Consider the following 17,658-nt stretch of genomic DNA (forward strand, 5'->3'; position numbering starts at 1 on the left):
GAAAGAGTTTATCACTAGCAGATCTACACTATAAAAAATGTTAAAAGATATCTTCCAGGTAGAAGGAAAATGCCAGTTGGAAATCTGTATTTATACAATGGAATGAATGGCCCTAGAAATGCTAACTACTACATGGAGAAATGTTTAAGAGTTTACTGTCCTCATTTAAGTTGCTTTAAAAGATGATTATTTTGACAAAATTAACAAAAGTAACAGGATTTATAATATATGTAAAAGTAAAATTCATAAGGACAATAGCATAAAGGCTAGGATGGGAGAAATGGAAGAAAACATAGAGGAACTCCTTAATAAATTTCTTGAGTACAATTATGACTTAAAATCCCGAAGCCATAATAGAAAAGATTAACAGAGTCAGCTATAAACTTTGTGTGGCAAACACAAAGCACTAATCAAGTATAAGCAAATCAAAAGGTAAACGACAAAAAGAAAATACATTTGTAATTCATCACAGATAATAATGTCACTAATACTGAAAGAGCCTAATGCATAAAAATTGGAAACAGCCCAATAGAAAAATGTGCAAAGAATATTTATGGCCAGTTTTCAGAAACTCAACCTATACTCATAAGAGAAATACAAATGAAAACTACATTGAGACTATAATTTTCCAAACATTAGATTGGCAAAAATCTAAAAGTTTGGTAACCTACTTTATTTGTGAAGTGTTTTTTGTTTGTTTTTTGTTTTTTTGAGATGGAGTCTCGCTCTGTCACCCAGGCTGGAGTGCAGTGGCACGATCTTGGCTCATTGCAAGCTCCACCTCCTGGGTTCATGTCATTCGCCTGCCTCAGCCTCCCCAGTAGCTGGGATTACAGGCGCCTGCCACTACACCCAGCTAATTTTTGTATTTTCAGTAGAGACAGGGTTTCACCATCTTGGCCAGGCTGGTTTTGAACTCCTGACCTTGTGATCCACCTGCCTCGGCCTCCCAAAGTGCTGGGATTATAGGTGTGAGCCACTGTGCCCGGCCTATTTGTGAAGTCATTAAAAAAAACTATTCTCATACATTGCTAGTGGGACTGTAAATTGGTAAAGCTTCCATCAAAATTACAAATACATATACCTCTAACTCAGCAGTGCACTTTTGGAATGTCACCCTGATACACATCTGTATATATGTGAAATGACATATATGTCCCAAATTATTGAATACAGCATTTTAATACCTAAAGACAGAAAACAATCCACATGAGTATCAATAAGGGCTTGCTTAAAGATCTTTTGTATATTATAAAGTGAAATTCTATGTAGGTACAAAAAGAATGAGAAAATTCTGTGAAATAAAGTTGAAATCTTTCCAAGATGTATCATATTCCATTAAATCTAAAATGTACTTTTCTCACATTTGAACATCTCTGAAATTATGCCGTATCTTATAATTAGTAACTTACAATTATAATTGGCAGCATTTTTCCTTTCTTAGAAGTACTTAGAGCCGGGTGTGGTGGCTCACACCTGTAATCCCAGCACTTTGGGAGGCCAAGGTGGGCGGATCACCTGAGGTCAGGAGTTCAAGACCAACTTGGCCAACATGGCAAAACCCCATCTCTATTAAAAATACAAAAAATTAGCCAGGCATCATGATGGGTGCCTGTAATCCCAGCTACTCGGGAAGCTGAGGCAGGAGAATCACTTGAACCCAGGAGGCGGAGGTTGCAGTGAGCCGAGATCTCGCCATTGCACTCCAGCCTGGGCAACAAGAGTGAAACTCCGTTTAAAAAAAAAAAAAGGAGAAGAAGTACTCAAAAATAATAGTTACATTCCATTGGATTTTGAAATCAATGAATTATGACATCATCAGTTGAGAACACTAAATGCAGAACCACATGGAGCACATGCTATCTCTCAATTCAAAGAGAATCTGTTTAATGCAATGTAGTGTCCTGGACTGTATCCTGAACAGAACAAAGATACTAATGAAAAACCTGGGGAAATCCAAATAAAATCTGAAGTTTAGTTAATAATTCACAATGATGTTAGCTTCTTAGTGGTGATAAACATGCTACGGCAACATAAGATGCTTTCATTTCAGGAAACCGGGTGAGCTCTCTGTATTATTTCTGTAACTTTTCTTTTGTTTTCTTTTTTTTTTGAGACGGATTCTCACTTTGTCACCAGGCTGGAGTGCAGTGGCGCAGCTCACTGCAACTTCCACCTCCCAGGTTCAAGCGATTCTCCTGCCTCACCCTCCCAAGTAGCTGGGACTACAGGCGCATGCCACCACACCCAACTAATTTTTGTATTTTCAGTAGAAACGGGGTTTCACCACGTTGGCCAGGATGCTCTCAATCTCTTGACCTCGTGATCCATCCACCTTGGCATCCCAAAGTGCTGGGATTACAGGCATGAGCCACCATACCTGGCCGTTATTTCTAAATGTAACTTTTCTATAAATCCAATTTTATTCCAAAATAAAAAGGGTAAAATAATAACTTTTTAAAGAATCTTGGCTGAGCATGATGGCTCTCGCCTGTAATCCCAGCACTTTGGTAGGCCGAGGTGGGAGAATCACTTGAGGCCAGAAGTTTGAGACCAGCCTGCACAACATAACAAGAGCCCATCTCTACCAAAAAAATTATATATATATATATATTTTATGCAAATACATTTTTTAAAAAAATTCTGGAGGGAAATGAGAAATTAAAATCTGTGAGGGATAGCAGGGGTAAGAAGAACTGGACAGATGAGGGCAAGGAGGGGCTGATGAGAGGCTCTTCACTTTATACTTATTCTCAGAACCATGTGAATTTATTTACCTACCAAAATATCAAGTGTAAAAAGTTATTACACTTTTGTGAGGGAGATTAATGGGATAAGGAGAGAGTATTCTAAATAGAGCTTGTGGTTTTTTTTTTTGAGATGGGGTCTAACTCTGTTGCCCAGGCTGGAGTGCAATGGTGCGATCTTGGCTCACTGCAACCTCCACCTCCTGAGTTCGAGCGATTCTCCGGCCTCAGCCTCCTGAGCAGCTGGGATAACAGGTGTGCGCCACCAAGCCCGGCTAATTTTTGTATTTTTAGTAGAGACAGAGTTTTACCATATTGGCCAGGCTGGTCTCAAACTCCTGACCTCAAGTGATCCACCTGCCTCAGCTTCCCAAAGTGCTGGGATTACAGGTGTGAGCCACCGCACCCGGCCTAGCGTTTGTGTTTATAACCTATAAACTATAACAGCAATCCATGGCTTGGCTAGGGATGGTGTCCACAACTCCTAAAATTCTCTACCCAATGTTATGCAAATGAATTTATGTACATTTTTCTCAGTAGAGGATACATAAGGAAACAGATTATTATGCAACCATATAATGGAACAGTATGCATCCACTAAAAAAAGATATCCATGTTTAGAAGTGTTTATGACAATAAAATATTCCACTACATTATATGAAATAGGAAGAAACTAATGATATGATAGTACTTGGAATATTTATCTTGTTGATGTGAAAGTATATGCGACATAGCAAGACTCCCTCTCAAAAAAAAAAGTGTATTTCTCTATAGACATATCTGTGTATCTAAACATGCTCTGAACAATCTAAAAACCTAACTGTGGGGCCAGGTGTGGTGGCTCACACCTGTAATCCCAGCACTTTGTGAGGCCAAGGCAGGCGGATCATGAGGTCAAGAGATTGAGACCATCCTGGCCAACATGGTGAAACTCCGTCTCTACTAAAAATAGAAAAATTAGTTGGGCATGGTGGTGTGCGCCTGTAGTCCCAGCTACTTGGGAGGCTGAGGCAGGAGAATTGCTTGAACCCGGGAGGCAGAGGTTGCAGTGAGCCAAGATTGCACCACTGCACTCCAGCCTGGTGACAGAAAGAGACTCCATCTCAAAAAAAAAACTTACAAAAGGGCCGGGCGTGGCACACCTGTAGTAAACCCAGCACTTTGGGAGGCCGAGGCGGCAGATCACTTGAGGTCAGGAGTTTGAGACCAGCCTGGGCAACATGGTGAAACCCCATCTACTAAAACTACAAAAATTAGCCGGGTGTGGTGGCAGGCGCCTGCAGTCCCAGCTACTCGGGAAGCTGAGGCAGGAGAATCACTTGAACCCAGGAGGTGGGGGTTTGCAGTGAGCTGAGGGCGCACCACTGCACTCCAGCCTGGGCGACAGAGCAAGACGCTGTCTCGAAAAAAAAAAAAAAAAAAAAATTGGGAGGCCGAGGTGGGCTGATCACAAGGTCAGGAGATCGAGACCATCCTGGCTAACACAGTGAAATCCCATCTCCACTAAAAATACAAAAAATTAGCTGGGCATGGTGGTGGGTGCCTGTAACCCCAGCTACTCAGGAGGCTGAGGCAGGAGAATGGCGTGAACCCAGGAGGCGGAGCTTTCAGTGAGCCAGGATCGCGCCACTGCACTCCAGCCTGGACGACAGAGCGAGACTCAGTCTCAAAAACAAAAACAAAAACAAAAACAAAACAAAACAAAAACTAACTGTGGTAGTCATTAGTGCTGTTCACCAAATATTTCTGGCCTGTTGGATGGAACCATTTGATTACTTCTGGCCTGTGAGCTATGAGTGGAAAAAGGCATCTAAATGTTAATTCCAGACCTTCCACAGCTCTTTTCCCTCTGCACAGGGACCAGCAATACTGAGAAGATGCTGCTCATCAGCCCATGTCCCCAAGCAGTCACAACAAGCACAGTTCCCTGCTGAAGCACAGCACCTCTGCAAAAAAGAATTACGTCTGTATTTTCAGCTGCTGAGATTTGGGGGTCTTATTTTTTATTACCACATATGTTAGTCCGTTTTCACGCTGCTGATAAGGACATCCCCGAAACTGGGCAATTTACAAAAGAGGTTTAACAGACTCAGAGTTCCACGTGGCTGGGAAGGCCTCATGATCATGGCAGAACATCTCACACAGCAGCAGACAAGAGAAGAGAACTTGTGCAGGGAAACTCCCCTTTATAAAACCATCAGATCTCATGAGACTTATTCACTATCATGAGAACAGCACAGGAAAGACCTGCCCCCATGATTCAATTACCTCTCACCAGCGTCCCTCCCACTACACATGGGAATGTGGGAGCTACAATTCATGAGATTTGGGTGGGGACACAGCCAAACTATATCACCACACAACCAAGTCTAACCTAACTAATGGAATTAGCTATTCTTTGCTATTAGGATCACTGATGATTTTTTTTCTCTCTCTCTGCGTTCTTTTTTTAAAAGTAATGAGCACCTATATCATAGAAACTTTATTTGTGGGCTGGGGAGAGACGCAGGTTTAGCAGGAGCCTTAGCACTGAAGAGACAGTAACTACACCAAGGCTATTATCACCACATCTCGACTTAGAGAAGCTTGAAACCATCAGCTTCCAGCCAGCTACTGGATGGAAACCAGAAGCTTAACCATCCGTTAAGATCTTCCATCTCCCTTTGTTCCAATTCTGTGCTCATTGAGTAACCTAAGAGCAGTGAAAAAAAACAAGATGCAGAACAATGAGAATAATGTGGTGTCATTTGAGGTGATAGAAACGGACACACACACACACACACACACACACACACACACACAAATACACAAAACATCTCTGGTAAGACACACAAGAGGTTAGTAATATTGACAGATTATGGGGAGGGAAAACAGGAAAGTGCCTTAGTCTATGTTGTTTACTCTTTTGTTATCTTTTGAATTTTGAACCTACATGCATATATTACCTATTAAAAAATAAACAAAATAAAATGAAAAACTTAAAAAAAAGAAAGCAACTCTAGGTGAAGAGGTATAATGCTGTCTAGTTGGCCACATTTGAAAAATACAGGAAGCCTAACCAAGGGCCAGGCATAGGCCAATGATAAATGCGTCATGAAACTAGAAACCTGGCTGTACCACAAGTGCAGGCTTAAAGGGGAGGAAGACCAGCACTACTTAGTCAAACACATTCTAAATGCTGCCCACTGACATTCGAGAAACTGCAGAAAAATTATTTCTAAAACTATTAAGCTTCCAACGTCAAGGCTTTTATTATTGAATCTTGATCCCATGTGAAAGCTTGAGCATGTTAAATTCCACTTCTTACAAGATTAGCACTATGACTTATTTTTCCCCTCCAGTAAGAACAGACTGAATTACCTCTGAAGAAAAAATGAAAAGACACTGCGCAAGATTTTAATAAAGAGAGGAAAGCATCCAAAAAGGTACCGATAGTAAACAGCACTGAGTGACATCACATGCGGTAACCTGTGATCTCCCTATTGCCTAGCTTCGTGTAAGCATGTGACACACAGATTAGAAACCCTGGAACAATTAAACCAGTAGATCCACCTTGAAACATTCCCAAGAGTGCCAAAGTATTTGTTATCTTCCCTTATTCGAAATAAAAGACTTAAAGTGGTTGACTTTACAGGCACACACTCTGTCTAGCTAAGGACGAGGAGTTCCTGGAAATGGAACTTGAACGGAATCCACAGTCTCTGTGGAGATCCATTCCTGGCATGCTACACTGGCAATGGCTCAGCTCTTCCAGTCACTCCACATTCACCGAAGTCAGGACCTGTCACTGGCCATAATTCTAGTTACACAACTGTTAGTCAAACTTCCAAGCTACAGTGATGTTTATAAAGCCTTTCATAAAAATCACACAACTTCCAAGTCCTTAATTGCATACTTATCTTTACCTGGTTTCCTTAAACATTTCCTTGAAAAGGCCTCGTGAAGCTTGCATTTATTATTATTATTATTATTATTATTATTATTATTATTATTATTATTATTATTTTGAGACAGAGTTTCCCTCTTGTTGCCCAGGCTGGAGTGCAATGGTGCCATCTTGGCTCACCACAACCTCCGCCTCCCGGGATCAAGCGATTCTCCTGCCTCAGCCTCCCGAGTAGCTGGGATTACAGGCATGCGCCACCACGCCCGGCTAATTTTGTATTTTTAGTAGAGACAGGGTTTCTCCATGTTGATCAGGCTGGTCTCAAACTCCCGACCTCACGTAATCCACCTGCCTTACAGGCATGAGCCACCACACCTGGCCTTTTTTTTTGCGGGGGGCGGGGCAGGAGGGGGACAGAGTCTTGCTCTGTCCCCCAGGCTGGAGTGTAGTGGCACGATCTTGGCTCACTGCAACTTCAGCCTCCTGGGTTCAAGCGATTCTCCTGCCTCAGCCTCTCAAGTAGCTGGGATTATAGGCATGCACCACCATGCCCAGCTACTTTTTTTGTATTTTAGTAGAGAGGGGGTTTCACCATGTTGGCCAGGCTGGTCTTGAACTCCTGACCTCAGGTGATCTACCCGCCTCTGCCTCCCAAAGTGCTGGGATTACAGGTGTGAGCCACTGTGCCCAGCTGAAGCTTGCATTTTAAACACCCAGTTTAGTACTCACCTTTCCACTGCTTCTAACAAATCCGCCCTGTCACATGCATATGCTTTCTCAACATTCACTGTCAAAAATGCCCTACCAGGACACAACATAGTGACAATAACACATTCAATTTAAGGATAATGGTTGAGAGGGAACCAGCTAAGAACTTACAATAATAGCACTAAGAGCACAGAGGAAAAAAAAAATAACAATAACGTAATGGAATGCAGCAGGCGCTGTTAAGAACCAGCCATATCCCCTTCCCATTTTCAGCACAATTTCCAATTTCCAATTGTACCACTATTTCTTTCAGGGCTTTCTCTGGCCTAAAGAGTCCATTTTGCCTACTGTCATAGGACTTGAAAATGATCATTCCCCACTCCCCAGCAAGACACAAGCAGGGGTAAGTGACTGGCATATAAATATCCCACGCCCTCAACCCTCAGTGAGGAAAACTCTGCAGCGTGTGTCCTATACTGGCTCCCAGGGTTCCCCTGCGGCCTCTAACTCCATTCCCACAGTAGTAACCTGCCTGATAATGAGCTATTTGTGGCTTGCCTTTCCTTACCATCTCACTTCCCCACTCCCCTGTGAGTGCTTCCTGGGATCATTTCCCAAAGGAAGTACTTTCACTGGATCCTTGACTCAGCATCTGTTCTGGGGAATGCAAAGCAAGACACTGACTGCAGACATATATATGCCTACTTAGTTTTAGTAAAATATTTTAAGGGCCAGGGGCAGGGGCTCATGCCTGTAATCTCAGCACTTAGGGAGGCTGAGGCTGGAGAATCGTTTGAACCCGGGAGGTGGAGGTTGCAGCGAGCCAAGATTAAGCCACTGCACTCCAGCCTGTGCAACAAGAGCGAAATTTTGCCTCAAAAAAAAAATTGTTTTTTTCAAAGACAAATAGTTACAACGAAGCAGCACTGCATGATGGTGTTATGTTCAATGGGATGTGTAACAGGTACACAAAAAATTGGCTTTTTCTAAAAAATAGCTTTTATAGCATTAAACAACAAAACTTAATATTTATATTCATAAGTCTCTATATTAAAATAATATTTGCTGCCCGGGAATGGTGGCTCATGCCTGTAATCCCAGCACTTTGGGAGGCTCAGGTGGGCAGATCACCTGAGGTCAGAAGTTCGAGACCAGCCTGGCCTACATGGCAAAACCCCATTTCAACTAAAAATACAAAAATAAGCGGGTGTGGTGATGTGTGCCTGTAGTCCCAGCTACTCGGGAGGCTGAGGCAGGAGAATCACTTGAACCCAGGAGGCAGAGGCTGCAGTGAGCCAAGATCGCACAACTGCACTCCAGCCTGGGGAACAGGGCAAGACTCCATCTCAAAAAAAAAAAAAAAAAAAAAAAAAAGAATATTATTTGTTCTCTGAAATCATTTTAAACTAAGAGTTCCAGCCAGGTGCAGTGCTCATGCTTGTAATCCAAGTACTTTGGGAAGCCTGGGCAGGAGGACAGCTTGAGCCCAGGAGTTCTAGACCAGCCTGGGCAACAGAATGAGATCTCATCTCTACTAAAAGTTTGTGTGTGTGTGTGTGTGTGTGTGTGTGTGTGTGTGTGTGTGTGTGTGTGTTTCTGGAGATGGTGTTTCACACTTGTTGCCCAGGCTGGAGTGCAATGGTGTGATCTCAGCTCAACGCAACCTCTACCTCCCGGGTTCAAGCGATTCTCCTGCCTCAGCCTCCCAAGGAGCTGGGATTACAGGCACACGCCACCACGCCCGGCTAATTTTGTATTTTTAGTAGAGATGGGGTTTCTCCATGTTGGTCAGACTGGTCTCGAACTCTCGATCTCAGATGATTTGCCTGCCTCAGCCTCCCAAAGTGCTGGGATTACAGGCGTGAGCCACCGTGCCTGGCCTACTAATAATTTTTTTAAAAATTAGCTGGGCATGGTGGTGTGCACCTGTAGTCTCAGCTACTCAGGAAGCTGAGGTGGGAGGATCACGAGCACAGGAAATGGAGGCTGCTATGATTGTGTCACTGCATTCCAGCTTGGCCAAGAGAGCAAGACTGTGTCTCAAAAAAATTTAAAAAAAAAAAAATTTAAATAAGAATTCCTAATCCAGAGCTTTGATTAAAAAAAACAAAAAAAAATCTGAGTTTATTGGGAATTTAATGGTTAGCTTTCAGAATATCCCACATATCTTTATTTTGGAAATTCCCAAAACTCTCACATTAAGAAAAAATTCTATTAGCACTGTGGCAGGAAATGGTTGTCTTCTGAATCCATAAATTTAAGCTCTAAAAATCTGATCAATGCTACCTGAAAAGGCCCCCATGGATAAGGGATGCTTTGAGGTATTTCTTCCTTTTCCTGCCTTCCTCAGTAAGACAGATTTCATTAAATTTTTTTTTTTTTTCATTTTGGAGCAAAGCTGTTATTCACTTCAGGTTAAACGTGATGTCTTTTTTTTTTTTTTTTTTTTTTTTTAAGATAGAGTCTCGCTCTGTCGCCCAGGCTGGAGTGCAGTGGTGCCATCTCGGCTCACTGCAAGCTCCGCTTCCAGGGTTCACGCCATTCTCCTGCCTCAGCCGCCTGAGTAGCTGGGACTACAGGTGCCTGCCACCACGCCTGGCTAATTTTTTTTTGCATTTTTAGTAGAGACGGGGTTTCCCTGTGTTAGCCAGGATGGTCTCGATCTCCTGACCTCGTGATCCACCCGCCTTGGCCTCCCAAAGTGCTGGGATTACAGGCGTGAGCCACCGCGCCCGGCCAATGTGATGTCTTCATTCTTGTTAGTGGCAGAATACACGAGCAATGTGGGACGGGTCTGGGGAAGTTGGAAAAGAATCTCTCCCTCATGCTGGAGTAGAGTCGATTCCCACTCCCAGCTATCACCCACCACACAACTGCCACCACAGGGGCAACGGCTCTGCCAAGAAGCAGAAAGCAGACTCGTGTTGCTGTGATCCAGAACAGTTCCTGCTGGTTCTGGAGGGGAAAATAGAAAACCTTTAAAACCTATTTTAAAACTCCTTTCCAAGGATCCCATTCATTCAGAGGCACACATCTTGTTTGACTCTCTATGAGTTTTACAGATAAGGTCTTCCATGCAAAACAGCTGGCGGCACCAGGTTGTACCTTGCCTGACCCAGTCTGTGTGCTAGTGTCAATTCCCAGACGTCAGTGGTCCAGTCTGAAATCTCTACCACATCTTTTTCAGCAGCTATTACAAGGATGAGACTATCAAACGCACTCAAACATGTCTGGATTGAATTAGTGCTGTATGCCCTTTCAGTTACAGTAGTTTAAAATTAGAATATATTAATAGTGGAGTTAAAATCCCAGCCTCAGCTGTGTTTGTTAGATAAACTCAAAGCTTTTTTGACAGTTCATTGTCAGAAAGAAAAGAGATGCATATTAAGATGCTTCACTTTCACGTATTAGCTGCTTCCAACAAACTATCTAATGACAGTATTACAATAATAAATTCCAAGAGCAAACTGAGAACAACTCCCCAAAATTTAAGACCGACATTTTAATTCTATTATACATTCATGTCAAAGCAGTTCTTCCCCAGCACCCATAAAAGAATGGAAAATTAGAATGCTTTTCAGTTCAAGTCACACAGTTAAATCTAGTTCCCGAAATATTTAGCAATCTTTATCTTTAGTGCCTTCAATTTAAGAAGCAATACTCAGCTTAAAGGTGCTCTGTAATTACTTCTTACCGAGAATAAACAAGAAATCTTATTTTAAATTATATCCTCTGGGATAGCAAGAGATCCAAATTAGAGATATAGAACTAATTGAAATGTAGACCTTTTCCTTTAGATGTATTTTAATAGAGATAGGGTTTTCGGTGAATTATTAACATATACTTATATATGATCAGTTACATACCAAAATGACACTATTCCCTGTTGTTTAAAGGTTAAAACACAGACACACACACACACACACACACACACACACACACGAAAAGACACACAAGACAGATTTTCACCAGACATTGGAAAAATTATTCATATATATATATTTTTGAGATGGAGTCTCACTCTTTCACCCAGGCTGGAGTGCAGTGGCACAATCTCTGCTCACTGCAACCTCTGGTTCAAGTGATTCTCCTGCCTCAGCCTCCTGAGTAGCTGAGATTACAGGTGCATGCCAACACGCCTGGCTAATTTTGTATTTTTAGTAGAGATGGGGTATCACCATGTTGACCAGGCTGGCCTTGAATTCCTGTCCTCCAGTAATCCACCTGCCATGGCATCCCCAAAGTGCTGGGATTACAGACGTGAGCCACTGCGCCCAGACCAAATTATTCATTTTGTATAGGAATGATCGAGTGACATTTCCAACACACAATTCTTTCAAACTGATGCTATTTAAATGATGAAAAGAGCAAAACTACATAATGACTAATTCTTTCATTACCTGTCTTCATTCAGATGATGATTTAAGAGTGTATTCTTTCTCAGTCTTCAGGGAAAAGGGGCATGTTATAAATCTTCACATCCCTTGCCCCTCCATTCTTTAATAACACTTGGCCCAATTCAAGTAGTTACTCAATAAATACTTGTTGAATGGATACATTAATTAATTCCATAGCACCATTCATATAAATATAGATAATAAATGAGCAAAACGCAAAGAATGATTCAGCTGAGATGGTCCTAAAATTGAGAGAAGGCTTTGCAGAATTCAGAATTTGTAATGATAGTATTGCATTATGGATTGGATATAAAAAGATCAATGTCATAAATTGCAAAGCAGTGCCAAGAAAGTAATGTTACTTTCAAATGAGAACTTGAAAGAACAATAAATATCACAGACATCAGGAACAAGATGTTTTTATTTTGTAAAAAGTACACTGCCAACCAAATTTTAATGGTATAAAACTGAACTACCTGAGAAATGAAGTTGATATGTGATCTTATGCAACTAGAATTAATTTATCCAGCCTAGCTTCTTCAGCTTTTCAGACTCAAAGACAATGAATAGGACCAAATTTTTGAGCCAACTGGTGAATGAAGCATTCTCTAAGAGAACTGCTCCTCTAGAATATAAATAATGCTGAGATTAAAGAAGCTGTATAAAAGACCAAGAGATTAAAGTTAGAATTGTTTTAAATTGGAAAGATATATAGATACACACACACACACACACACACCCATTCAGATTTGTTTTTTGCTTACTGCCCGTATCTGAGGCATTTGAAAGTCAACGTGAATAAGAATACTTCATTTATTTATTTATTTATTTTTTGAGATGGAGTCTCACTCTGTCACCCAGGGTGGAGTGAAGTGGCGCAATCTCAGCTCACTGCAGGCTCTGCCCCCAGGGGTTCACGCCATTCTCCTGCCTCAGCCTCCTGAGTATCTGGGACTACAGGTGCCCGCCACCACGCCCGGCTAATTTTTTGTATTTTTAGTAGTGATGGGGTTTCAGCATGTTAGCCAGGATGGTCTTGATCTCCTGACCTCGTGATCCACCCGCCTCGGCCTCCTAAAGTGCTGGGATTACAGGCGTGAGCCACCGCACCCGGCAAGAATACTTTTTAAATTAAAAAAAGAATATAGAAGCACTTCCCTGTTTCCCAAGTTAGCATTTCATGACATTTCCCTCTTGCCAAATTCAGTAAATAGGATATAAATCTGTCTATTAGTCAAATAAATGTCTAGAAAGAACTAAATGACCACAAAAAAAAAAAAACAGGAGTAGCTGTTATAGTTATAACAACTCATTGTGAGTACCCTTTCCACAAGAGCCTATGAAAGTGAAATTCAATTTAAAAAGAAAAACTGAATATTACCAAAAAATATCTACCACCCAAAACCTGGCATTCATATTAATCCAATGAAATATCGCAGAAACTACTTTCAGTATTAACTATCACAGAAACCAACAAAACCTTTCATATAAAGACAAATTTCAACTTAAGTCATAAACATACCAATGCTGCTCTACAGTTACAGAAAACTGAATCTGCTACCTAAGATTAAGACCAGCAAACAGGAAAGGACGGAACCAAGAATGACAACTAACAGATTAAATTCTACAGTTTAAAGTCATATAAAAGAACTGCAAAGTAGTCAATGATCTGAATACCTTTGTTGGAGCAGTATCCATGAAAAGCTATAGAAAAAAAAAAAAGAGAGAGAGAAAAGGGCGTAAAACTTTCATATAAACTAGAGAGTCCAGATGAGATCTACACATTCCAGTTCAATATCCTTGAGTTTAGGAAGGTTACAATCAATTTTGGAAAATGTTTTCAAAAGTAATCCCTGCCTAATATGGACGTCAATTCTTCTTATAACACTAGAAATCAAATGACTCACTTTGGAAGCTAAAAATGAAATAGTGGAAAGAAACAATATTTGAAGATTAGTTAGTTCCTGCGAACCAGTCTGTTTGTCTCTAATACAATCTCTTCCATATTTGTCCTCAACAACTCCGCACCTACTTACCTCATTCATAAAGATGCCTGATCTAGATGAGGCGTGGCTTTGAGATGTTCAGATGGTCTGTCCATGTTTGCATGTCAACTTACAGATCCTTATAACAATGTTAATGTGAAGGATTTACTTAGGTTATACAAATATTCAGTAGCTAAGATGGGAAGGAAAACAAAAAATACTGGCTACTAAAATTCATTTTTCCCAGGGTAATAAAAAATAGATTTAAAGATCTCATTTCTTCTTTATATCCTATTCCCAACCTTTCCAAATAACTTGTCTCTCTGCTACACATTAAGCATGGAAAGGTCCTTTGAAAGCAATTTGTTTTACAAACAAAAAAACAAAAAAAGACCCTGTCTGCCAATAATATGCACCATTAGTTTCAAATCTTTTGGATAATCGTCTGTGAAACACTATTTTAAAACATATACAAGAGCATTTTTTAAATTAACCACTCTGAAAATTTATATTCTATCAGTAAATAATTTCATATATTGTTTTATTTTCTACCTCAGGCTCTCCCATGGTAGAGGGGTCTCCCATCTTTAAGAAGACCTCCCCAACAATAAGCTTAGCTGCAATTTAATATTAGGCAATATAAGTCTTCAGTATAATAAAAATACATAACAATAGCCTCAAGAATGAAGTAACAGCTTTGGTTTATTCCTCCTTTTACAGGGAATCTTTCTAAAGAGAAACTCTAACATTTATCCCAAGGCAGAAAAGATGATCACCACGGCACCAAACCTCCTCCGCTGCTCTGACAAATACAGAGCCAGCCTCATCTGGAGCATTTCTGCCCTGAGCTCGCTCTCAGAAGCAGACAGAGGAACACACTGCATTTCCACTGTGCTGATTCACTGAACCTTTTGTGCAAGTACACGGGAATGTTTGCTTCTTAGCTTGAAACCCTTCCAGCCGTGATGACTGTGCCTCAGCCTGCCCTTTGTCCTCGCAGCTGCTGTCACGCGTGTGACACAAGAGAACACTGATGCAGCCCTGGCCATCAATGGGCATCAAGCCAGGCACTTCATATGCATCCCCTTCATTTCATTCTCACAACAAATCTGTGGCAGATGAAAGCATCGAGGCTCCAAAAGGTTACTAATAATCTGTCTGTGCTCAACCCTGGGATGGGGCAGAGACTAGGTTTCCCCAGTGTCCTCATGCCTAGTGGCTAGCTTAGCTGGCCTCATAGAATTGGCTCTTCAAAAACTCTTTGATTAAAGTTTTTCTTCCCTAAAGATTTCAACCGCAATATGCGATATGGTTACTCTATATGCTAGTTCTCCCTCAGACCCTCCCAGTGTTATTTTCTCAATTAACACTGAAAACATAAACTCCATGAGAGCAGGGACTATCTCTAGCAGTGCTCTATTTTTAGCACTTGAGGGGAAGAAAGCTTGGCAGAGTAGGTATTCATTTGCACATATTCATTATGCATTTGTTGAATGAATAAAATATCCGGAAAACTGGGGCTGTTAATGACAGTCAATTTGGAAAACAGCATGACCTGCAGAAGACCTGAATGATGTACTTGTTTTGCTCATTTTCCTCAAATTCAGTAGGTAATTATTCATCTCCTAGCCTAAGTAGCACAGGACTAACTAGGAGATATCCAATAAATCATTTATGTACAACTCTGTGAAGCAGCTTTATCTGCTGGCAACAGTAAAAGTCAGGTAGTCATGGCTTTGCCAAAAAGAAACTACATCATTGTGGCCCAATTTTATCTCTGGCCCTTTGGCTTCTTCACAGGGGAATGTGGAGGGTTTTGATCTCTTGAAATTCTTTCCCCTGTCCTATCAATTCAGTGATTCCCACAGACTATCTCAGAAATTTCCAAGAAATGTCACTTGTGTGCATCAATGCCTTTCTTCCATCCTAAAAATCCACAGTGTGGTTTCAGTCCAGCTCTTCCTAACCCCAGCAGAAACTGGGAACATTCCTTCCCATTCAAAAGCACAGAGCAATTACAATTTGCACTGACTGGCAACTCCCTGGCATCAGTACCATTTCTGCAACACAATTATTCCACCTTCCATTCATGTCTGTGCCCAACTACTCTGTATGTCCACTTAAGGAGTGACATTTGAAACTGTCAAACTGTTGCCTCCACGTGGTGTTGGAGTGCCTGAGGAATTAGATTTAAAGCAGATAACTAACATGAATATCAGAAGTGAAGATGTTGAAGAATTAAGCAAGCATAGAAATCAAGAAAACAAATTCACATTACAGACAAATTTAAGTGTAAGTAAAGGAGAACCAAGACATAGGCAAGAAGAAAAATGCACACTACACACTATGATGGGCTTCAATTCCTGAAACTGGATAATCTACTATAACACAAAACTCTTGAAGAAAAAGCAATTTTTTTCCTTGACTCAGTGTTCTACATAACAGCATTCCTTTTCTATCAAGAAAAATATACTTCCATCACTGCAATGAATATGCATGACTATTTTACATAGTAAGCATGCAATAAATACTTCTTGAATTAATGAATAAATTTTCCCTGTCTAATGTCTGCTGTGAATTTTAAAGATCTTAAAAAGGAAGGAGGGAGGAGACAATGCTGTATTTGTTTATTTGATGAGTATCCAATATATCACCATTAATTAGTGCTTTAAAATGGCAATCCTGACCTCAATTAGTGTTTTTCCAATAAAATTATTTACTATTATAATACAGACAGTCTTTAAAAGTTAGATCATGGCAGACACTCGAAAACTTGTTTTTAAAAAGGTAAAGAAATTTAACACAAACCACCAAGAATCTTTTAGCCAGTAGCTATTACCAATATTCTTTACTAATCAGAATTTTTCTTTTCTTTCTTTTTTTTTTTGAGACGGAGTTTCACTATGTCTCTTTTGCCCAGGCTAGAGTGCTGTGGAATGAACACAGCTCATTGCAGCCTTGAACTCCCAGGCTCAAGTGATTCTCCCACCTCAGCCTCCGGAGTAGGGGTTTTGCCATATTGGCCAGGCTGGTCTTGAACTCCTGGGCTCAAGCGATCTGCCCGCCTTGGCCTCCCAAAGTGCTGAGATTACAGGCATGAGTCACTGCTCCCAGCCTAATCAGAAATTTTAAAAATAAAAATAGTAAAATAAATCAAAGCTCTGCAACAACTATTACATCTTATAAATTATCAAACATAGATATATGCAGTAGTGTTAGAGTCTTTAAATTTTTTTTTCCTGAGGAAAGGAGAAAGTACACTGCCATGAATGGAGGTCCCTATTTAAGGGATGGGAAAATAGAGATAAAGATTCAGACCTCTGACATTAAGGAGGTTCATAGAAAAATCTAGTATTTTTTCCTTGAAAACCCTCCTCAACCTCCCCACTTCCTCCAGTTTCCTAGACTAGTAACAGCTCATTCTGATCTGTACCCAGCATCTTTTTAGCTTTAATGCTTACAGTTTACACCGCCTGTTTTGTTTTGTTTTTTGAGGTGGAGTCTCACTCTGTCACCCAGGCTGGAATGCAGTGGCGCAATCTCAGCTCACTGCAACTTCCATCTCCCTGGTTCAAGAGATTCTTCTGCCTCAGCCTCCCAAGTAGCTGGGACTATAGGCACGTGCCACCATGCCCAGTTAATTTTTGAATTTTTAGTAGAGAAGGGGTTTCACCATGTTGGCCAGGCTGGGCTCGAACTCCTGACCTCAGGTTATCCACCCACCTCAGCCTCCCCAAGTGCTGGGATTACAGACGTGAGACACTGTGCCCGGCCTACACTGTCTTTATGACCTTTTGTTTTCATGGTGGACTGAAACTGAACTAGCAGTATAGTTCAAGTAAAAAAATCCGTGTCATTGCACATGGCAAGAGGTGAATGAATGGCTCCGTGAGAGGTGGATGGGGTTGGAATGAGAGTTAAACCCCTTAGTCTGC

The 17,658-nt window shown here is 41.0% G+C and overlaps 1 protein-coding gene and 1 long non-coding RNA gene across 16 annotated transcripts in view, besides 1 other annotated feature; one reads left to right on the forward strand and one right to left on the reverse strand.

The window, feature by feature from the left end:
• CDC14B (cell division cycle 14B) overlaps nt 1–17,658 on the reverse strand; it is a 128,905-nt gene that overhangs the window by 106,705 nt on the left and 4,542 nt on the right. The gene's annotated exons all lie outside the window — the stretch shown is intronic.
• Nucleotides 1,974–14,527, forward strand: LOC105376163 (uncharacterized). Of its 2 annotated transcripts, none has more exons than XR_001746853.2 (4): nt 1,974–2,061; nt 6,089–6,172; nt 7,655–7,744; nt 14,444–14,527. It is a non-coding gene; the product is annotated as an uncharacterized LOC105376163 (long non-coding RNA). The 2 variants fall into 2 exon arrangements; XR_001746854.2 differs by lacking the exon at nt 1,974–2,061 and adding an exon at nt 4,642–4,710.
• Nucleotides 5,050–5,250: a silencer, noted in NCBI's record as "peak7301 fragment used in MPRA reporter construct". NCBI's record gives its function as "represses an SCP1 promoter by STARR-seq MPRAs in K562 erythroleukemia cells {active_cell/tissue: K562}" and the evidence as "EXISTENCE:reporter gene assay evidence [ECO:0000049][PMID:32103011]".

The sequence above is a fragment of the Homo sapiens genome, chromosome 9 (genome assembly GCF_000001405.40).
Source record: "Homo sapiens chromosome 9, GRCh38.p14 Primary Assembly".
Lineage (NCBI taxonomy): Eukaryota > Metazoa > Chordata > Mammalia > Primates > Hominidae > Homo > Homo sapiens.